Source organism: Homo sapiens, chromosome 6 (genome assembly GCF_000001405.40).
Source record: "Homo sapiens chromosome 6, GRCh38.p14 Primary Assembly".
NCBI lineage: Eukaryota > Metazoa > Chordata > Mammalia > Primates > Hominidae > Homo > Homo sapiens.
The window spans coordinates 112,070,663-112,086,392 of record NC_000006.12 but is presented as its reverse complement, the minus strand read 5'-3'; the positions used below and the strand labels follow the sequence as shown (position 1 = coordinate 112,086,392).

Genomic DNA, 15,730 nt, shown 5'->3' with positions numbered 1-15,730 from the left:
ATTTTCCCGAAGAAGACAACAGATTTCCCTTTAGTGTGACTTCTTTTAACTTAACCTTGAAATAAGTTTCATTAAAAGAAAGCTGAAATTTTCCCAGAGGGCATCTTGTTAATGCATCCTGTAATAACTAACTTTTGAAAGAAAAATATATTGTTTACATATATGCTGTAAGTATAAAAATATACTTAAAAAGGTGACAAGCAGTTGTTGGATTGTTTTTGTTTATTTAATAAAGAGTATATGTAAGTACCATATATGTTTTATCTGGAAGAGTAATTTAAGTTGCCGTTTAGGATATCTCCATAAGCTTTTAATATTAAATCATTAAGTTCATGCATTTTCAAAATACTTCATAAAACTAACTGTCCTGTGCTTAAACTGAAAAATACATACTTCGTGTCAGGCTTTAATCCAATAGGAACATCAGTTCTAGTTTAAAATAGTTGGCTGGGTGTGTGAGCAGTTATCTTCAGAGAAAGCTGATTAGTCCGCGCTTCCTGGGTGAATTCCAGAGTCTATCTAGGGCACTGGCTTGCAAACTCAGAAGTGTCATTGGCATCTCGAGATGGGTTCAGTGCTCTCCAGTACAGCCAGGTTAACCAAAGACCAAATTCTCATTTTCATAGGCACATTACTTTATCTTTTGTAGGAAATCTAACTGAAAAGCTGTGTAATAATCTGAAGGTTGCTTGGTGACCATGGAATCAGACCAAAGGAAGTTAGTTACTTTAATGGCTGGTATCATTTATATTTATTTTATGGAGATATCTGTCATATAGACTATAGATTCCCTCTTATTTGTAGCCCACAATATCCTCACCTCTAAATTCTCTTAGGAGACTCAAATTTGCTTCTGTCATACTTCCTTTCCGGCGCTTCTCTTGCTAAGTTCCTACACCCACCTCTTTACTTCTTGTTACCCAACGCTTACATTGAGTATTACATAGTTGAGACTCAGCCTGGGAGCTTTTCTTTCTTCATAAGGTGACTCTTCATAACTACACTCTCATCTACTCTGTGTGTTTTATACTTTAACCTGAGAGCACTATTATTTTCCCGGTAAGTTTGGCAAACAGGGTTGTGGCATCTTGCACTTCTTTCTGTGTACTATCAACACATGCAGCATCTGTTCCACAGCTTAGTACAAAAAATATTTTTCAAAGTAAAACCATATCTTTGTGTACTATTCTTATCAAATTTTTATACCTTTTGAGTAGCATGATAGGAATTTACCTACAGCATGGGTTGGCATGCATATATTTTCTGTAAAGGACCAGGCAGTAAATATTTTAGGTTTTGTGAACCATAAAGTCTTTTGCACCACTACTTGATCTGTAGCATGATTGTGGGCATAGGTAATACATAAAGGAATGGGTGTGTCCACATTTGAATAAAATTTTATTTAGGAAAACAGGCAGCTAGTTGAATTTGGCCTGATGATTGGCTACCCTTCATATATTCCGTCTTGTGAACTGTCTTTATTGACCCATATACTGCGTTAGATTTTAGTACTTTGGCAACTTATTTCCAACGTGAAATTCTGAGAACAACCTTAGATACTCAATGGTAAATACCAGTTATATCAGTTGATGGGTGTTAACTGCAATAGAAAACTACATTAATGGTGGCTGAGGCAGTAAAGGTATTCATTTATCTCACAAATCTGCAAATCAGATGTTCTAGGTTTAAAGGAATGCCTCAAAGATCTAATACTATATATGTTCCACTGTCCATAAGTGTGTTGGCTTTTTGTACTTGTATTATTACTTCATGACTATAAAATGGCAGTCTTCTCCAGGAATCACATCCATATTCAAGTTTGAGGCAGGAAAAAGAAAGAAGATAGGCACCAACTGCATCTGGTCCTTCTTTAAAAGCTTCCCAGAATACTTCCCCTTTATCTCATTGGCTAGAACTGGATTACATGGCCAGCCCTAACTACAAAGAAAGCCAGGAAACTAAGTACCTCACTTTTTCAGCCTAATGGGAGGTAAGCAAGGAAGAAAGAGATTAGGAATAGCTGTTGTGTCTGCCTTACCTGGCCTATAAGCAGTCTTATTATATAAATGGAAGTTAACTTTATCACCTGATAGTGCTATTAGCCATGGAAGATCTTATGACCATTTCTCATTTTTTTATCTTTCAGAGTGGTTGGTGATGGTGGAAGTATTTCCAAGGGAAAAATATGTTCTTTAAAAGCACGAGTAAGATACATATGCTTGGATTCTTATATTACATGTATTTTTTAAATAACTATTCTCAGTAACTATCATGAGAATAAAACTTTAAACTTTTCAAAGTAGAAAAAAATTACTAAGCCACATTTAATATAAATATAACTAAGCAGACATTTGTGTCCACCTAACACATTAGGGGGAAAAGCCCATACTTTAAAACACTGTAGTTAGCCTGTTTTCAGGAGAAATAGTGTCTAGATAAATGATAACAAAAGGAGCATTCTTAACTCTAAGGACCTGAAATACGTACTAGTACAGTTTAATGTTTTATTTAAAGATACTGGAAGATTTATTTGCATCAAAGTTACTACCAATAAAAAACATGGAACCAGCCACATTGTAGTGAATAAAAACCATTCACCATATAAGTTCTCCTGAACCAAGTACTTCAGGTTCTTAGCCCATATTTACAGTCTTATTTACAGTCTTAATCATTCCAACAATATTTCTGTGATTGTCTGTAACGAACTACTTTTTCTGATTTTTGATCAGTGATCTTTGACTATAATAGAAAAGAAAGTTTAAATGTTATGGAAGGTGCTGGGCGCGGTGGCTCACGCCTGTAATCCCAGCACTTTGGGAGGCCGAAGCGGGCAGATCACAAGGTCAGGAGATCAAGACCATCCTGGCTAACATGGTGAAACCCCGTCTCTACTAAAAATACAAAAAATTAGCTGGGCGAGGTGGCGGGCACCTGTAGTCCTAGCTGCTCGGGAGGCTGAGGCAGGAAAATGGCGTGAACCCCGGGGGGCAGAGCCTGCAGTGAGCCGAGATCGCGCCACTGCATCCAACCTGGGCGACAGCGGGACTCCGTCTCAAAAAAAAAAAAAAAAAATGTTATGGAAGGAATTGAGATGCCAAGGATCAGACCTGGTGTAGTAGCTTAAAGACTGGTGAGCAATAGTTTTGTGACATCTGGGAATCATCTAGTATCTGCAATCTCCGATGTCCTTGGAAAACAAAATTTAGGGCAGAGATCATGTGCTTGCAGGCTGTTACAATAATTGACTAACACAGTATGCTTTGTGATGTAGAGAGAGCAGGTATCCCAATCCAAATCTTAGAGAAAAAGAGACTTTGACATTTCCTAGACTACTCCCAGTTGAATCTTTTTCCTACAACCGTATCAGTAAGCAGATTGAGAGGTGAAGGAAACACTATTAGGAAAAAATAAATCAGCGTGTTTTTGTAGCCTTTGACTTTTTTTCCGAGAAGGTACTCTTCCATTTTCTCCTTAAGAGCTCTTGGTATTATGTGGTTGTGATCACTGAAGAGTCCAGGCTTCACAAGATAACTTGGTGCTTGGGTCCCTTCACTGTGTTCAGTTTCTTAGGTTAATAAATACTCAGAATTTTATAAATCCTGTTACAATTGTAAAGCCAGGTGGCTCTGAAAGGAAGTACAAACATCAAATCCTGGAACAGTTGTGACTCCAGACCTTGGATGCCTAAGTGAAGAACCCAAAATACTCTCCCAAAGTTTAGTTAATTTCCAAAGGAAAAACAAGGGCCTGATGTAACTAAGGGAGGTCTGGAAGAGTTATATGTCAGGATTTTAATGTTAAGTGACTAGGACAGTGATGATTCTATCAAAACTAATTTCAGGAGGTACCTGAATATCAGTTTGTATTTGCATATTGCCTCCCTTGCCAGATAGCAGAGTAATTGAGGGTATGATTTATGTATGTTTAATCTTCCACATACCTCAATAAATCTATTTTGGAACAAGGCCAGTATAATCCAATTTGCTTTTTCTTTTATAATCTCACAACTTGTAGTACTAAAATTTGCCCATACAGTGAAGTCTCTCTTTGGTTTGTTTAGGTGTTAAAGTCAGCATTTGAGGTCAAAATTGCATATTGTCAGAAATATGCTTGAAAATACCTAACATTGCCAAACATAATCCTATACAGTCCTCTGTATGTAAAGTGTATATATGATTGCTCTATATAAAGGAGCACATTTGTAAAACATAGTTTTATAGTCTTTATGATATACTGCTGTATTATTTTAATTGTAATATCTTGAAGTAGCATGGTTAATTACACACATGATTAAACTCACTGCTTAATGTTATATGGTAACAGAACTGAAAGCCATAAACCGAGCACTTCCTCTGTGACACTGAATCAAACAGTTAACAAATCATTGTTTAGTGTACCCTAAGAATTTGTTTCAGCTTTGCTTTTTTTATTTAACTCTACTTAGTTTACTTTTTTACTCTTCTTCCTCGCTGTAGAATATATGGAAAGTAAGGGAAGTGGGAGGACGGGACATGTAATCCTACTGCCAAGCTATCCCTGCTTTACGTTTTACTAGATGTCCTTCATCTTTTTTTTTTTCTGTTTTTTTTTTTTCCATAATTAATTTTGTGTTTTATATTCTCATTTCTTCTTAGGAGTGTATGTTTTCTGTCATGTCAGCTAAAGTTTGTAGTAATGAATTAGATTGTGAATTACTTGGGGGAAGGGACCATGTTGTCATTTTTTACATCTATCCAGTGCCTTTGCTTTGCACGTAATGGTAAATTTACTCATTTGAGTTGGACAGTTTTGAGCTGTGGTTCATAAAGAGCAGCATGATTGTTCCTAGTATGCAAGTACATTCATGCATCCTGTATTGAGAACTTGTTCTGGTTAAGGATACCTTCTACATTTCTGAGACCTTGTTAGAAATACAGTTGAGGGGATTATTCTTGGGCTTTTTTCCCCCAACTAGGCATTTTGGAGTAGGATAAAAGAATTTAGAATCCATTTTTTAATTGGATTCCACCTTTCAAACAGAGTGAAATTCTTTTTTAATTTTTACAACAGATTCTACGTAAAGATTTTAATTAAGCTTAAACTATAAAGAGAACAGTGCAATATTCAGCGCATAAATTCTTTTCATTTACAGAGTGAATAACTCTAAAAGAAAATACATTAATTATATTTTATTTTTCTTTCTCAGGCAGTCTTGATTGATATGGAAGAAGGGGTAGTGAATGAAATTCTGCAGGGACCACTGAGAGATGTATTTGATACGAAACAGCTCATCACTGATATTTCTGGCTCAGGAAATAATTGGTGAGAATACACAGCGTAAAAATTGAATATCTTCTGAAAAAAATGAGCAATCTTTCTTCATTGTGAGATTCTGCTGATACGAAACAGGATGTAATTTGCCACATAATGCTAGGCCTTTCAGCCCACCACCTTAATAAATAGTGGCTTGGAAGCCACCTGTATTTACTCCTAGTTCTTTCTAACTTTTTTAAAGAAAAAGAAGAATTATGAAAAATTAATTTGCTAAATTCCGTTTCATAAATTCTTGAAGAACATTAAATAATGACAAATGTTTTAAGTACTTTCATTAACTGTTATCTATGTTATTTGACTCACTCTCAAGTTGTCCAATTGGTCAGATGTAATACAATTGGTAGAGATGCAAGCCAGACCAGTATCCTAGCATTCAAGCTGAGCCTAAGGCTGTTTAGGCCCTTGAGTATATAATGGTCTCTTCTCTTTACTGTGAAAAAAGCTTCAACAGTGATTACTTAAGAATTCACATTGAGACTGTTGCTGTTTTTTAGAAATTAGCTCCTTGTTATTTGCAAATCTCTCATATTCATTATTTTCACTATTTGCAGCCAGTCCCTCAGGTTCATAATGCGGAATAATATGTAATTTTACTAAGGCATAAATTTGAATCTTGTGTTCCCAGAGAACCAGTCACTTAGTAAGTGAGCCCATCTGACCACCTAACTGCATTTTTACTAATTGTTGTATAACTTATTATGTAACTTTTGAGTTATACCTGAAATGCATATTATGGGAAAATCTTTTGTTTTAATTCATCATAGTGATATTTGCAAATTTGGACAACTTAAAAAGACTTGCAGAGCTGCATGATTATCAATTTCTACCATGTACCATTTCATCTAATAACATGATGTGACCTTTTTTTTCTCATATATGAAACCAGAATAGGTTTGTTTAAATTTTTGATTTTCAGTGTCTCTGTAGTTTACCACATTTTGCTTTTTAGTATGTAAAATCCACTACAATTCAGAGTTTGCCTTAAATGGAGAGAAGAAAAAATTATGTAACTGCAATCTTGTTTTGTTGGAATTGTACCTTAAGAGAAGGTTAAGATGAATTTAGAAAATCATAGTTTAATATTCACTACTAATGAGCTTACTTATCCAGATATTTGAGGATTATAGATACTGAATATTTGTTAAGTTTTCTATCTAGTATCTTCAGGATATTGTATGATTTATTTACATGAAACAAGAATAGACTTTACTTAGCTCAATAAGAATACTTTTCAAATTTGTTTAAAATCCTTTTATTTAGATTAGAACTAATCAAATAAAAAAATAAATGCAAGGAATTTTTAAAATCCATATTCTAATTTTCAGGGCCGTGGGTCACAAAGTTTTCGGCAGTCTTTACCAAGACCAGATTTTAGAGAAATTCAGAAAGTCGGCAGAGCACTGTGATTGCTTGCAGTGTTTCTTTATAATACATTCCATGGGAGGAGGTAAAATTTTTCACTCATTTGCCTGTAACAGTGTTAAAGGATAAGTGGGAATTCATTTTGCAAACGTAAGTCTTGTTTTTAGACCTGTGCTTGATAAAGATAGAACTATTCGGAGGGTGTGTAGTTTGAGTATATAAACATACACCTTTTTATCTTAAAATTTTGTGGAATTATGTCACTATTTTCTTTTCTTTTCTTTTTTTTTTTTTTTAATGTAAGCCCTCTTAAGAGTCAACAGAACTATACTGGAAAATTTTTTTTCTTGTACCTTTAGTTTCTTTTACAGAACATTCAGATACTTTTCAGGATGTATGAGCTTTTGAGAAATGCTGACTTTCTCCTTAGAGTTTGCCTGTACAGTCCTATTTCCTAGAGTGAAGCATTTTTGACGTGCTCATGATGTGTGCTTGCCAAAGGATATTAATACCCTTTCTTTAACCATCTTCAAACCTTTCTTGTCTCCAAAAAGAGAAAAAAAAGGAAACTAGTTTAGTCAATTCCTTTAGATCATTTATTACATGGCAATTAATCAACTTGAAGTAAAAATAAATGATTGGCATTGCTTTCTTCCCCCAGGGAAGTCTATACCTTAGAACTGAAGTATTTTGCTCCCCTGTTCTGTAAAAATAGAAACAGAATGTAACTTGCTGATTTTTAAATACGCTTAGCAAATTTTAAAAGAACAAAATGGTCACACTTTTTTCCTCCAACCTGAGATTAAGATTTTATATTCAGCAAGTTAGGTGTATGTACAGTTGATTTTTATACATATTATTCATTGACATAGCATTTTAAGATTAAAAGTTAAAATTGCTGTGTAACCATGTCTTTAAAAGATCCTCATAATCATCGGTTAAGAAACAAATTTGTTTCTGTGCTAGTATAATTAACCTGCAAATTTGAGCTAGCTTTTTATTTGATTTATAGTTCGTTATACCTTTTTAAAAAATACCTTTACTACCCAACATCTCAGAAGAACATACTTACAATTCACTTAAAATAGCAAAAATAAATATTAATACTAAAGGTTAAAAGTAAAGTTCTTTTTTCCCCACATCTAATGCCTACTCCCTGTCCTTACAGATGATCAGGTTTGCAGGGTCTTTTTATGTCTGTTCTTTCAGATATATTCTATGCCTATCAAAGCATGTATGTATATTTTTACATAAACAAGATTATCCAATATATACTATACTGTAACTTTTCCACTTTATCTCTTTCTCAGACATCTTTCCATATCAGCTCTCTGTCATAGAATCAATTATACAGTTTAAAGTGAGTTTGTTATTTATGGGTATTAAGTGTTTATGGTGTTTAGTTTTTACATCCAATCATCAGTGAAAGTCTGGGACAAATACTTCTGTATTTGTGCCACTATAGCTTTAGACAGTATTCCTAAGAAAAAGATAGGACCAAAGCATATGTACATTTTAAATTTTGGCTGATATTACCTATATACCTTCCTACAATATTGCACCAGTGCTTCTTACTGGCAACAATGTGTATGAGTTTCTATTTCCCTACACTAGCACCAATACTGAGTATCATGAGACATAAATCTATTATATTCAAAATTGTATTTAGTTTTAATTTGTATTTCCTTAATTAGAAGAAAGGTTGAGCATCTTTACTTCTATTTGCAATTTGTATTTCTTTTATTATGAGTTAAATGTTTCTATCCTTTGCCCATTTCGTGGTGGCATTATTCGTATTTTTTGTTGTTGATTTGTGGGAACTCTTTCTTAGAGAAACTTAGTCCTTCCCATCATATGTATTGAAGGGTTTTTTTGTAAGTTTGTCTTGTTATTTTTTATGGGTTTTTTTAAGTATATATAGAAGTTTTGTTTATTTTTAATGAAATCAAAACTGTCTCTTCTGTAATGGCTCTGGTTTTTTTGTGACGCTTAGAAAGTCCTTCTCATTAAAGATCACCCCAAGAATCTCCCTCACTTTGACTTAGTATTTTTAGCATCATAGCCTTTTAATAGTTATCTGCATGGATTAGAACATTGGTGTTTAAAGTTTTTTTTAACCAGAATAGTATGAAATACATTTTATATATCACAATGCAGCATACACACATGAAAAAATATATTAAGAAAATGTTATTTACTCATACTACATCTGACATGTTATTTTCTACTGTTTCATTTAAGAAAACAGTACTAATCTGTTCATTAGTTTCATAGCCTACTAATAGTTCAGAACCCAGTTTGAAAAACATCGGATTAGAGGATTCCAGTTTTAAGTTCTGAAAAATTTCTGAATTTATGTAAATGTAACTTGATGTATCAGAAAGTTATCTTTAATGAGATTCCTCGAGTTTCTGCTTTTAAATAAGTAGTGTTTCATATTTGAAAATTTTTGAAATTCGAGGTAGGCATGCTTAATTGTAAACAGTTTTAACTCTGTTTAAGTTGCTTGATGACATGATAGTTTTTTTCATCAAGATTATATACACACTACACTAAAGCTGTCAAGTTAGTTTTCTTAAGTTGCTTAATATCAAATGTAGACTGAACACCGTCTTAGTTGAATTTTTTACTTGTGCATGTGCAATTGGTTCTTGTGGCATTATATAGGTATAACTTAAATATGAAAAGGAGTGAGATATAGACGGCCCTCCCAAACTCACTGTCAGAACCAAAGATGGAATTCAGGACTTCATTTCCTGAATGTTGCCTTCATTTCCTTATCCAAAATTAGATTAGTTAATATATAATCACAGAAATAAGCTGAAAATTATTTTTACAAATATAAATTCTGACCAGGTGTGGTGGCTCATGCCTGTAATTCCAGCACTTTGGGAGGCCAAGGCAGAAGCTTGCTTGAACCTAGGAGTTCAAGACCAGCCTGGGCAACATAGGTAGACCCTATCTCTACACAAATTAAAAAGTTAGCCAGGCGTGGTGGCTCATGCCTGCGGTCCCAGATACTTGGGAGGCTGAGGCAGGAGGATCATTTGACCCTAGGAGGTCAAGGCTGCATTGAGCTGATTATGCTGCTGCACTCCAGCCTGGGTGACAGAGCAAGACCCTGTCTCAAAAAAAATAAAGTTTCAAATTCTTCACAATTATATTCTGAATCATTTATGCTAATTTTTAAAAACACTTTAATCCTCAGGAACAGGATCTGGACTTGGCACATTTCTTTTAAAGGTGCTTGAAGACGAATTCCCAGAAGTATACAGATTTGTGACTTCCATTTATCCTTCTGGTGAGGATGATGTCATAACCTCACCTTATAATAGCATCTTGGCAATGAAGGAACTTAATGAGCATGCAGACTGTGTATTGCCCATTGACAATCAAGTAAGAAATGACATTGGAACTTATGAATAAATGTTATATATATTCAGTCCTGTATTATGTATGTGTGTTTATATGAAACGTTCTCTTCACTTTTCAGCCTTCTTAGAGAAAAAATCAGTTTAAATTGTTTTTCTTTCTCTTTCCTAGTAGAATATCATCTACATCCACTCTTCTTAATAGCTTCTCTCCCAATGTTTTTCCCTCAAAAGTCTTTATTTGACATCATTAGCAAAATCGACCTCATGGTGAATTCTGGAAAGTTGGGTACAACTGTGAAGCCAAAGAGTCTGGTTACTTCAAGTTCTGGGGCTTTAAAAAAGCAGCATAAGAAGCCCTTTGATGCAATGAATAACATTGTGGCAAATTTGCTCCTCAACCTAACGAGGTAATTCTATCCAGGGATAGTCAAAAAACTTTATTGTGCTTTTGGAGATATTTTGAATTTTTGTAGTAGCATTTTTTAGTTATTCTAAATTGTAGAAGCTGCTTCTGTTTTTATTTTGTCTTCTATCTTTTCTTGGAGTGATCACGCAGAATTTTACCTTCTATGACTCCAAAGCAGCATTTCCCCAAGTATGTTCCATGGAATATGAACAGATATCATATGATGTAAAAGATTTTGTGGTTGACACACTTGTAAAACACGTAGACAAAATTAAACATTTTTTAGCTGTAGAATGTCTTAATCATTTAAACCAACTAATCTGTACCTCCTCATTAACTGGTCCAAAAGATTTCTGTGGCTTTTTGGTATCAGAGATTGCTTTGACATTATTATATTCTAGATTATAGAGTATATTAAGCAGATTCTTGAGGAAATTAGTTGTTTCTACAGTTACTAATTATTGACTTATATGTGTTTAACTCAAATATAAAGTTTGTTTTAAATAGGATATTTTTATATGTGTAATGAGCAACTATAATAGTATATTGATTACACTTCAGATAATCCAGAAAGAATGACTGTAGGGCCAGCCATGGTGGCTCATGCCTGTAAATCTCAGCACATTAGGAGGCCAAGGCAGGTAGATTGCTTGAGCCCAGGAGCTGGAGATCAGCCTGGGGCACATGGTAAAATCCCATATCTACAAAAAATACAAAAATTAGCCAGGCAAGGTGTTGTATGCCTACTGTAGTCTCAGCTGCTCAGGAGGCTGAGATGGGAGGCGGCGGTTGCAGTGAGCTGAGATCACACCACTACACTCCAGCCTGGGCAACCAGAGCGAGACCCTGTCTCAAAAAAAAAAAAAAAAGAAAGAAAAAAAAAATGTAGATGTTGTGTGTTATATTTTATTTTATACATGATTGTTCTGATACTAACTTTCACTAATATGGAAGAAAAGCATGTGTTCTGCACTGAAGAACAGTGTACAAAAGAATTTAAGAAACTACCTGCTGAATAAATCGAGCTACATTTAAAGTGTATAATTTTAAAATTAAAAATTTTCTCATTTTAATGTTAACTTTTTAGCTCTGCAAGATTTGAAGGGTCCCTTAATATGGACCTTAATGAAATCAGCATGAATTTAGTTCCTTTTCCTCAACTTCATTATCTCGTGTCAAGCCTAACACCTCTGTATACACTGACAGATGTTAACATTCCTCCTAGAAGGTAAGGTGTAACTTTGTTTCAATTTTTTGAGGCCTCAAATTACTTTAAAAAACATTTTTAAGAGAAAAAAGTTTGCAATAACTCTAGTTATTTAATTGTATCATCTTATCTGTGAGAGTTGATGACATCCATTTTTGCATTAGATGAATGCATCTTTATTTAGAAGTAATTGTTGAAAAATGCCAGTATTAAACTATTTGAACTTAAATCTAATGATTAAATTTGTAGGCTTATGAAAAGTCCTTTGAAGTCTGACAAACACATTTGAATCCTAACTGTCGCTAGCTACAGGACTTTGGGCAAGTGACTTAAACTTTCTTAGTTTTTCTCATCTGTAAAAATGAAATAGTACCTACCTCATATACTTATTGGGTAGATTAAATGAGAGTTTGTTTTAAAGCTACTGTCACAGCCCAGTACCATAGAAGAATTTCAGATGTAACTCTGTATGTTTTCCAGAACACCTTGCTTTATAACTGTGTGTCATTGTTAAGCATAAAGATTACATCAGTATACTTAACAAAAAATGTAGTTTTGAAAGATACTCTTAGCATGTATACTGATGATGAGCTTGAAAAGTTCACAGTGGCATTCACAGTTGACTGAGGGAAAAAGTCCTGCCAAACTCTGTAAGGAGACAGTATGTAAATAAGAAAGGGAAAACTAAATTGGCTGAGTGCAGTGGCTCACACCTGTAATTCCAACACTTTGAAAGGATGAGATGGGAGGATCACTTGAGCCCAGGAGTTCAAGACCAGCCGGGGCAACATAGTGTGAGACCCTGTCTGCACTTGTAGTCCCAGCTACTCTGGAGACTGAAGTGGGAGGATCACTTGAACCCAGGAGTTTGAGGCTGCATTGAGCTATAATTTTGATCCTGCACTCCAGCTTGGGCAACAAAGGAAGACAGACCCTGTCTCTAAAACAGATTGAAAATAATTTTTTAAAAGTTTTTAAAGAAAACTAAAGATTCTTTTTTATAACTAAAGTTTTGACAAGATAATTCTATACTTCAGGAATGTCACAAGTGATATTGGTAAGTTTTCATCTAAGCCAACAGCAAATGACCACTTTGCCAACTAATAGATAGGACTCCGTTTCTGCATGGGATGCTGATGACCTTAACAAGCTAAGCAACATACACAGTGTATGCAACATGGTGATTATTAAATGTCCATTGGCATCAGCCTAGCATTGGAGTCTGTGTATTGTTAGATATAAACTTTGTCAGTCACCTTTATTTTCTTTTGTCTTTTATCCTTCAGTTAAAAGACTTAGGTTAAAAGTCTCTACTTTTAGGAGAACTACTATGGAGTTTCATCTTTTATAGGAGAGCTTCACATTGTCCTTTGATAATTTCCTCCTGTTAACAAAATTTATGATATAATATACTTTACAAAGTAATAGTCTTAATGTTCTAGGCTTTTAATTAGTTTTAGTAGTTTGGATACTATGAAATAAATAAGGTATACCGAACTAAGTAATAATAATACAAGTTTCAAAAATCAGTACTACATAGAGTTCATAATGCTACAGTCAACATTTTGTAGCTACCTGAAATCACCCATATACTGCAGAAGCCTTTTCCCCCAGAAAAAGAAAATATTATATGATTTCTTCTCTTCTCATATCATTAAGATTGCTTCAAGAAAAGTATAGTTATTTAATATTTTTAGAATATATATAATCTAATATTTTGTTAGTGTAATATTTAGTGTGGTTTCTTACTTATAGAGGACTATCTTCATTTTATAGTTATACATAGAAAGAAGTAATATTTTGTATAAACAATGACAATTTCATTGTTGCAGATTGGATCAGATGTTTTCAGATGCCTTTAGTAAAGATCACCAGCTGCTTCGGGCAGACCCCAAACACAGTCTTTACCTCGCCTGTGCACTCATGGTTAGAGGAAATGTACAAATTTCAGATCTTCGTAGAAATATTGAAAGGTTTGGTTTATATTTTTAAAGATAATTTGTGTGTGCTGCTTGGGACAGTGTGGCATAGTAGTTAGTTAACAGCCGCCCTTCAAATTCTAGCAGTGCCACTTACTAAAGTGTGACTGTGAACAAACTACTTAGTCTCTTTGTGCCTTGTTTTCTTCAAGTGTAAAATAAGGATAATAATAGTACATGGTTTTTATTTAGGAGTCTTAAATGATATATGACATGTTTTATTTTATGAAAGTGTTCAGAAAATCGTAGCTATACTATTTTTATTACCACTGCCACCAGTACTACTATAGTAGTACTACTACTACTTCTGATTTTTGTGTTACTATTTCATTCTATTTGTAAGAAAACTAGTCTGTTGAATTACAAAGTAAGGAAAATGGTAGTACCTTCATTTCTTTATATCCCTAGATTTCTACTCTTAAGGAATGAGTTTCTAGCTTCTTGAATCACAACACAGCCAATTTAATGTTCCCCTACAAAATGTCTCTTAGTTCACTATCAGACTGTACCATGTTACTGCCAATAGTAAAAAATAGATAACTTAGCGTCTAAACTAAGCAAGTAGATTGATACCATCCATAATGTTCTGGTTTAACTAATATGAGCTGCCATTATATGGCAGACATTTTTAGTACCTTAGTTCTCACCTTCTGAGATTTTTTTTTTTAATCTCAGATTAAAACCATCTCTACAATTTGTCTCCTGGAATCAAGAAGGCTGGAAGACCAGCCTGTGTTCCGTACCTCCTGTGGGCCATTCTCATTCGTTATTAGCTTTAGCAAATAACACATGTGTGAAGCCCACCTTCATGGAACTGAAAGAGAGATTCATGAGGCTCTACAAGAAAAAGGTAATTATTGTACAGCTTTGTAACTGTATGTGTTTATTTTGGCTATTTAAGATGTATTCTTAAAAATTACACTATTACAAATCAGGGGTGATGTTTTCTATTATGTGCGTTGTACTGATTATAACTGAAGAGGAGAGGCTTACTCATGCTACTTTTACTCTAAATGAGAAAATTCATGAGTTTATAGGATTCATTCAATTTGACACAAGTTCTCTTTCAAATGTAGAGCTGAATGAACTCTAATTTTAATAAGGAATATTTACCTTTTAGGATAGTCTTATGTATTAAAGTTCCTGAAATGGTAAACGTTACCTAATTTTTTAATTTATAGGCTCACCTTCATCACTATCTACAAGTTGAAGGGATGGAAGAAAGCTGTTTCACAGAAGCTGTGTCATCTTTATCAGCACTCATACAGGAATATGACCAACTGGACGCCACAAAAAACATGCCTGTGCAGGATTTACCCAGACTAAGCATAGCTATGTGAAAAAGAAACCCTCAAAAATACTTTCTTAATTTCACATTGTTTTTTCTGACCTTTCTGTTTCAACATTTTTGTAATTTGGAAACTCCAGTTTTTTCATATTATCGGGAAATATTTTTGTCTAAAAGAGTGATTTCTGTTTAATCGCAATTTGTTGGTAATACCAATGTGTGAAATTAGTGAAATCTTAGTACCTTAACTTCAAACATTTCTCTTCAGAAAAGTTCCCTTTTCTAAAATTGAGATAACATAGTTCTTGAATATTTTGCTGTATTTATAGCCTCATATTTAGGCATTTATGCACTGATGTGTCTTCAATAAAAATCTTGTACAGATATATTTTTATAATTATTTATAATTTATATTTTGATATTCTATTTAAGTTATCCTGATTCTTTAAAAGTAGTTATTGGGAGTAGAAGAACACAATATAAATATTTCCGTGTAATAGCCACCAACTTTTCAGGCATAGGTTTTATTACAACTGTTAAGGAGGTTTTGCTTCTTCTTTAGATAACAACTTGTTTGCCCAAAAGAATCCTAATTTGTACACTTAACATGTATTTGTATTAAACTTTTTAAATAATTGCTTTCTTATCAAACCAATTGATTTTATAATAAATGTCTATATTTTTCAACAGTGCTACTTGTTATTGTTCTGCATGACATTTATGCAAATGAACAGAATGTTACTAAGCTTGATATCTTCCAAACTTTGCAATAAATGGCTATAATTGTTCCGGTTACTATAA

The 15,730-nt window shown here is 33.8% G+C and overlaps 1 protein-coding gene across 3 annotated transcripts in view; it reads left to right on the top strand.

The window, feature by feature from the left end:
- The window catches only part of TUBE1 (tubulin epsilon 1), a 16,820-nt gene extending 1,090 nt beyond the window's left edge, over window positions 1–15,730 (top strand). Inside the window, exons 2-11 of one of the 3 annotated variants that reach the window (XM_047418854.1) lie at window positions 650–718; window positions 2,147–2,204; window positions 5,186–5,301; window positions 6,639–6,760; window positions 9,884–10,071; window positions 10,281–10,456; window positions 11,543–11,683; window positions 13,495–13,635; window positions 14,317–14,491; window positions 14,823–15,730. In XM_047418854.1, the coding sequence (XP_047274810.1) occupies window positions 699–718; window positions 2,147–2,204; window positions 5,186–5,301; window positions 6,639–6,760; window positions 9,884–10,071; window positions 10,281–10,456; window positions 11,543–11,683; window positions 13,495–13,635; window positions 14,317–14,491; window positions 14,823–14,981 (1,296 nt within the window). In that variant the 5' untranslated portion in view covers window positions 650–698 and the 3' untranslated portion in view covers window positions 14,982–15,730. The remainder of the gene's footprint in view (window positions 1–649; window positions 719–2,146; window positions 2,205–5,185; window positions 5,302–6,638; window positions 6,761–9,883; window positions 10,072–10,280; window positions 10,457–11,542; window positions 11,684–13,494; window positions 13,636–14,316; window positions 14,492–14,822) is intronic. The other 2 variants (NM_016262.5, XM_047418855.1) reach the window with 2 other exon arrangements.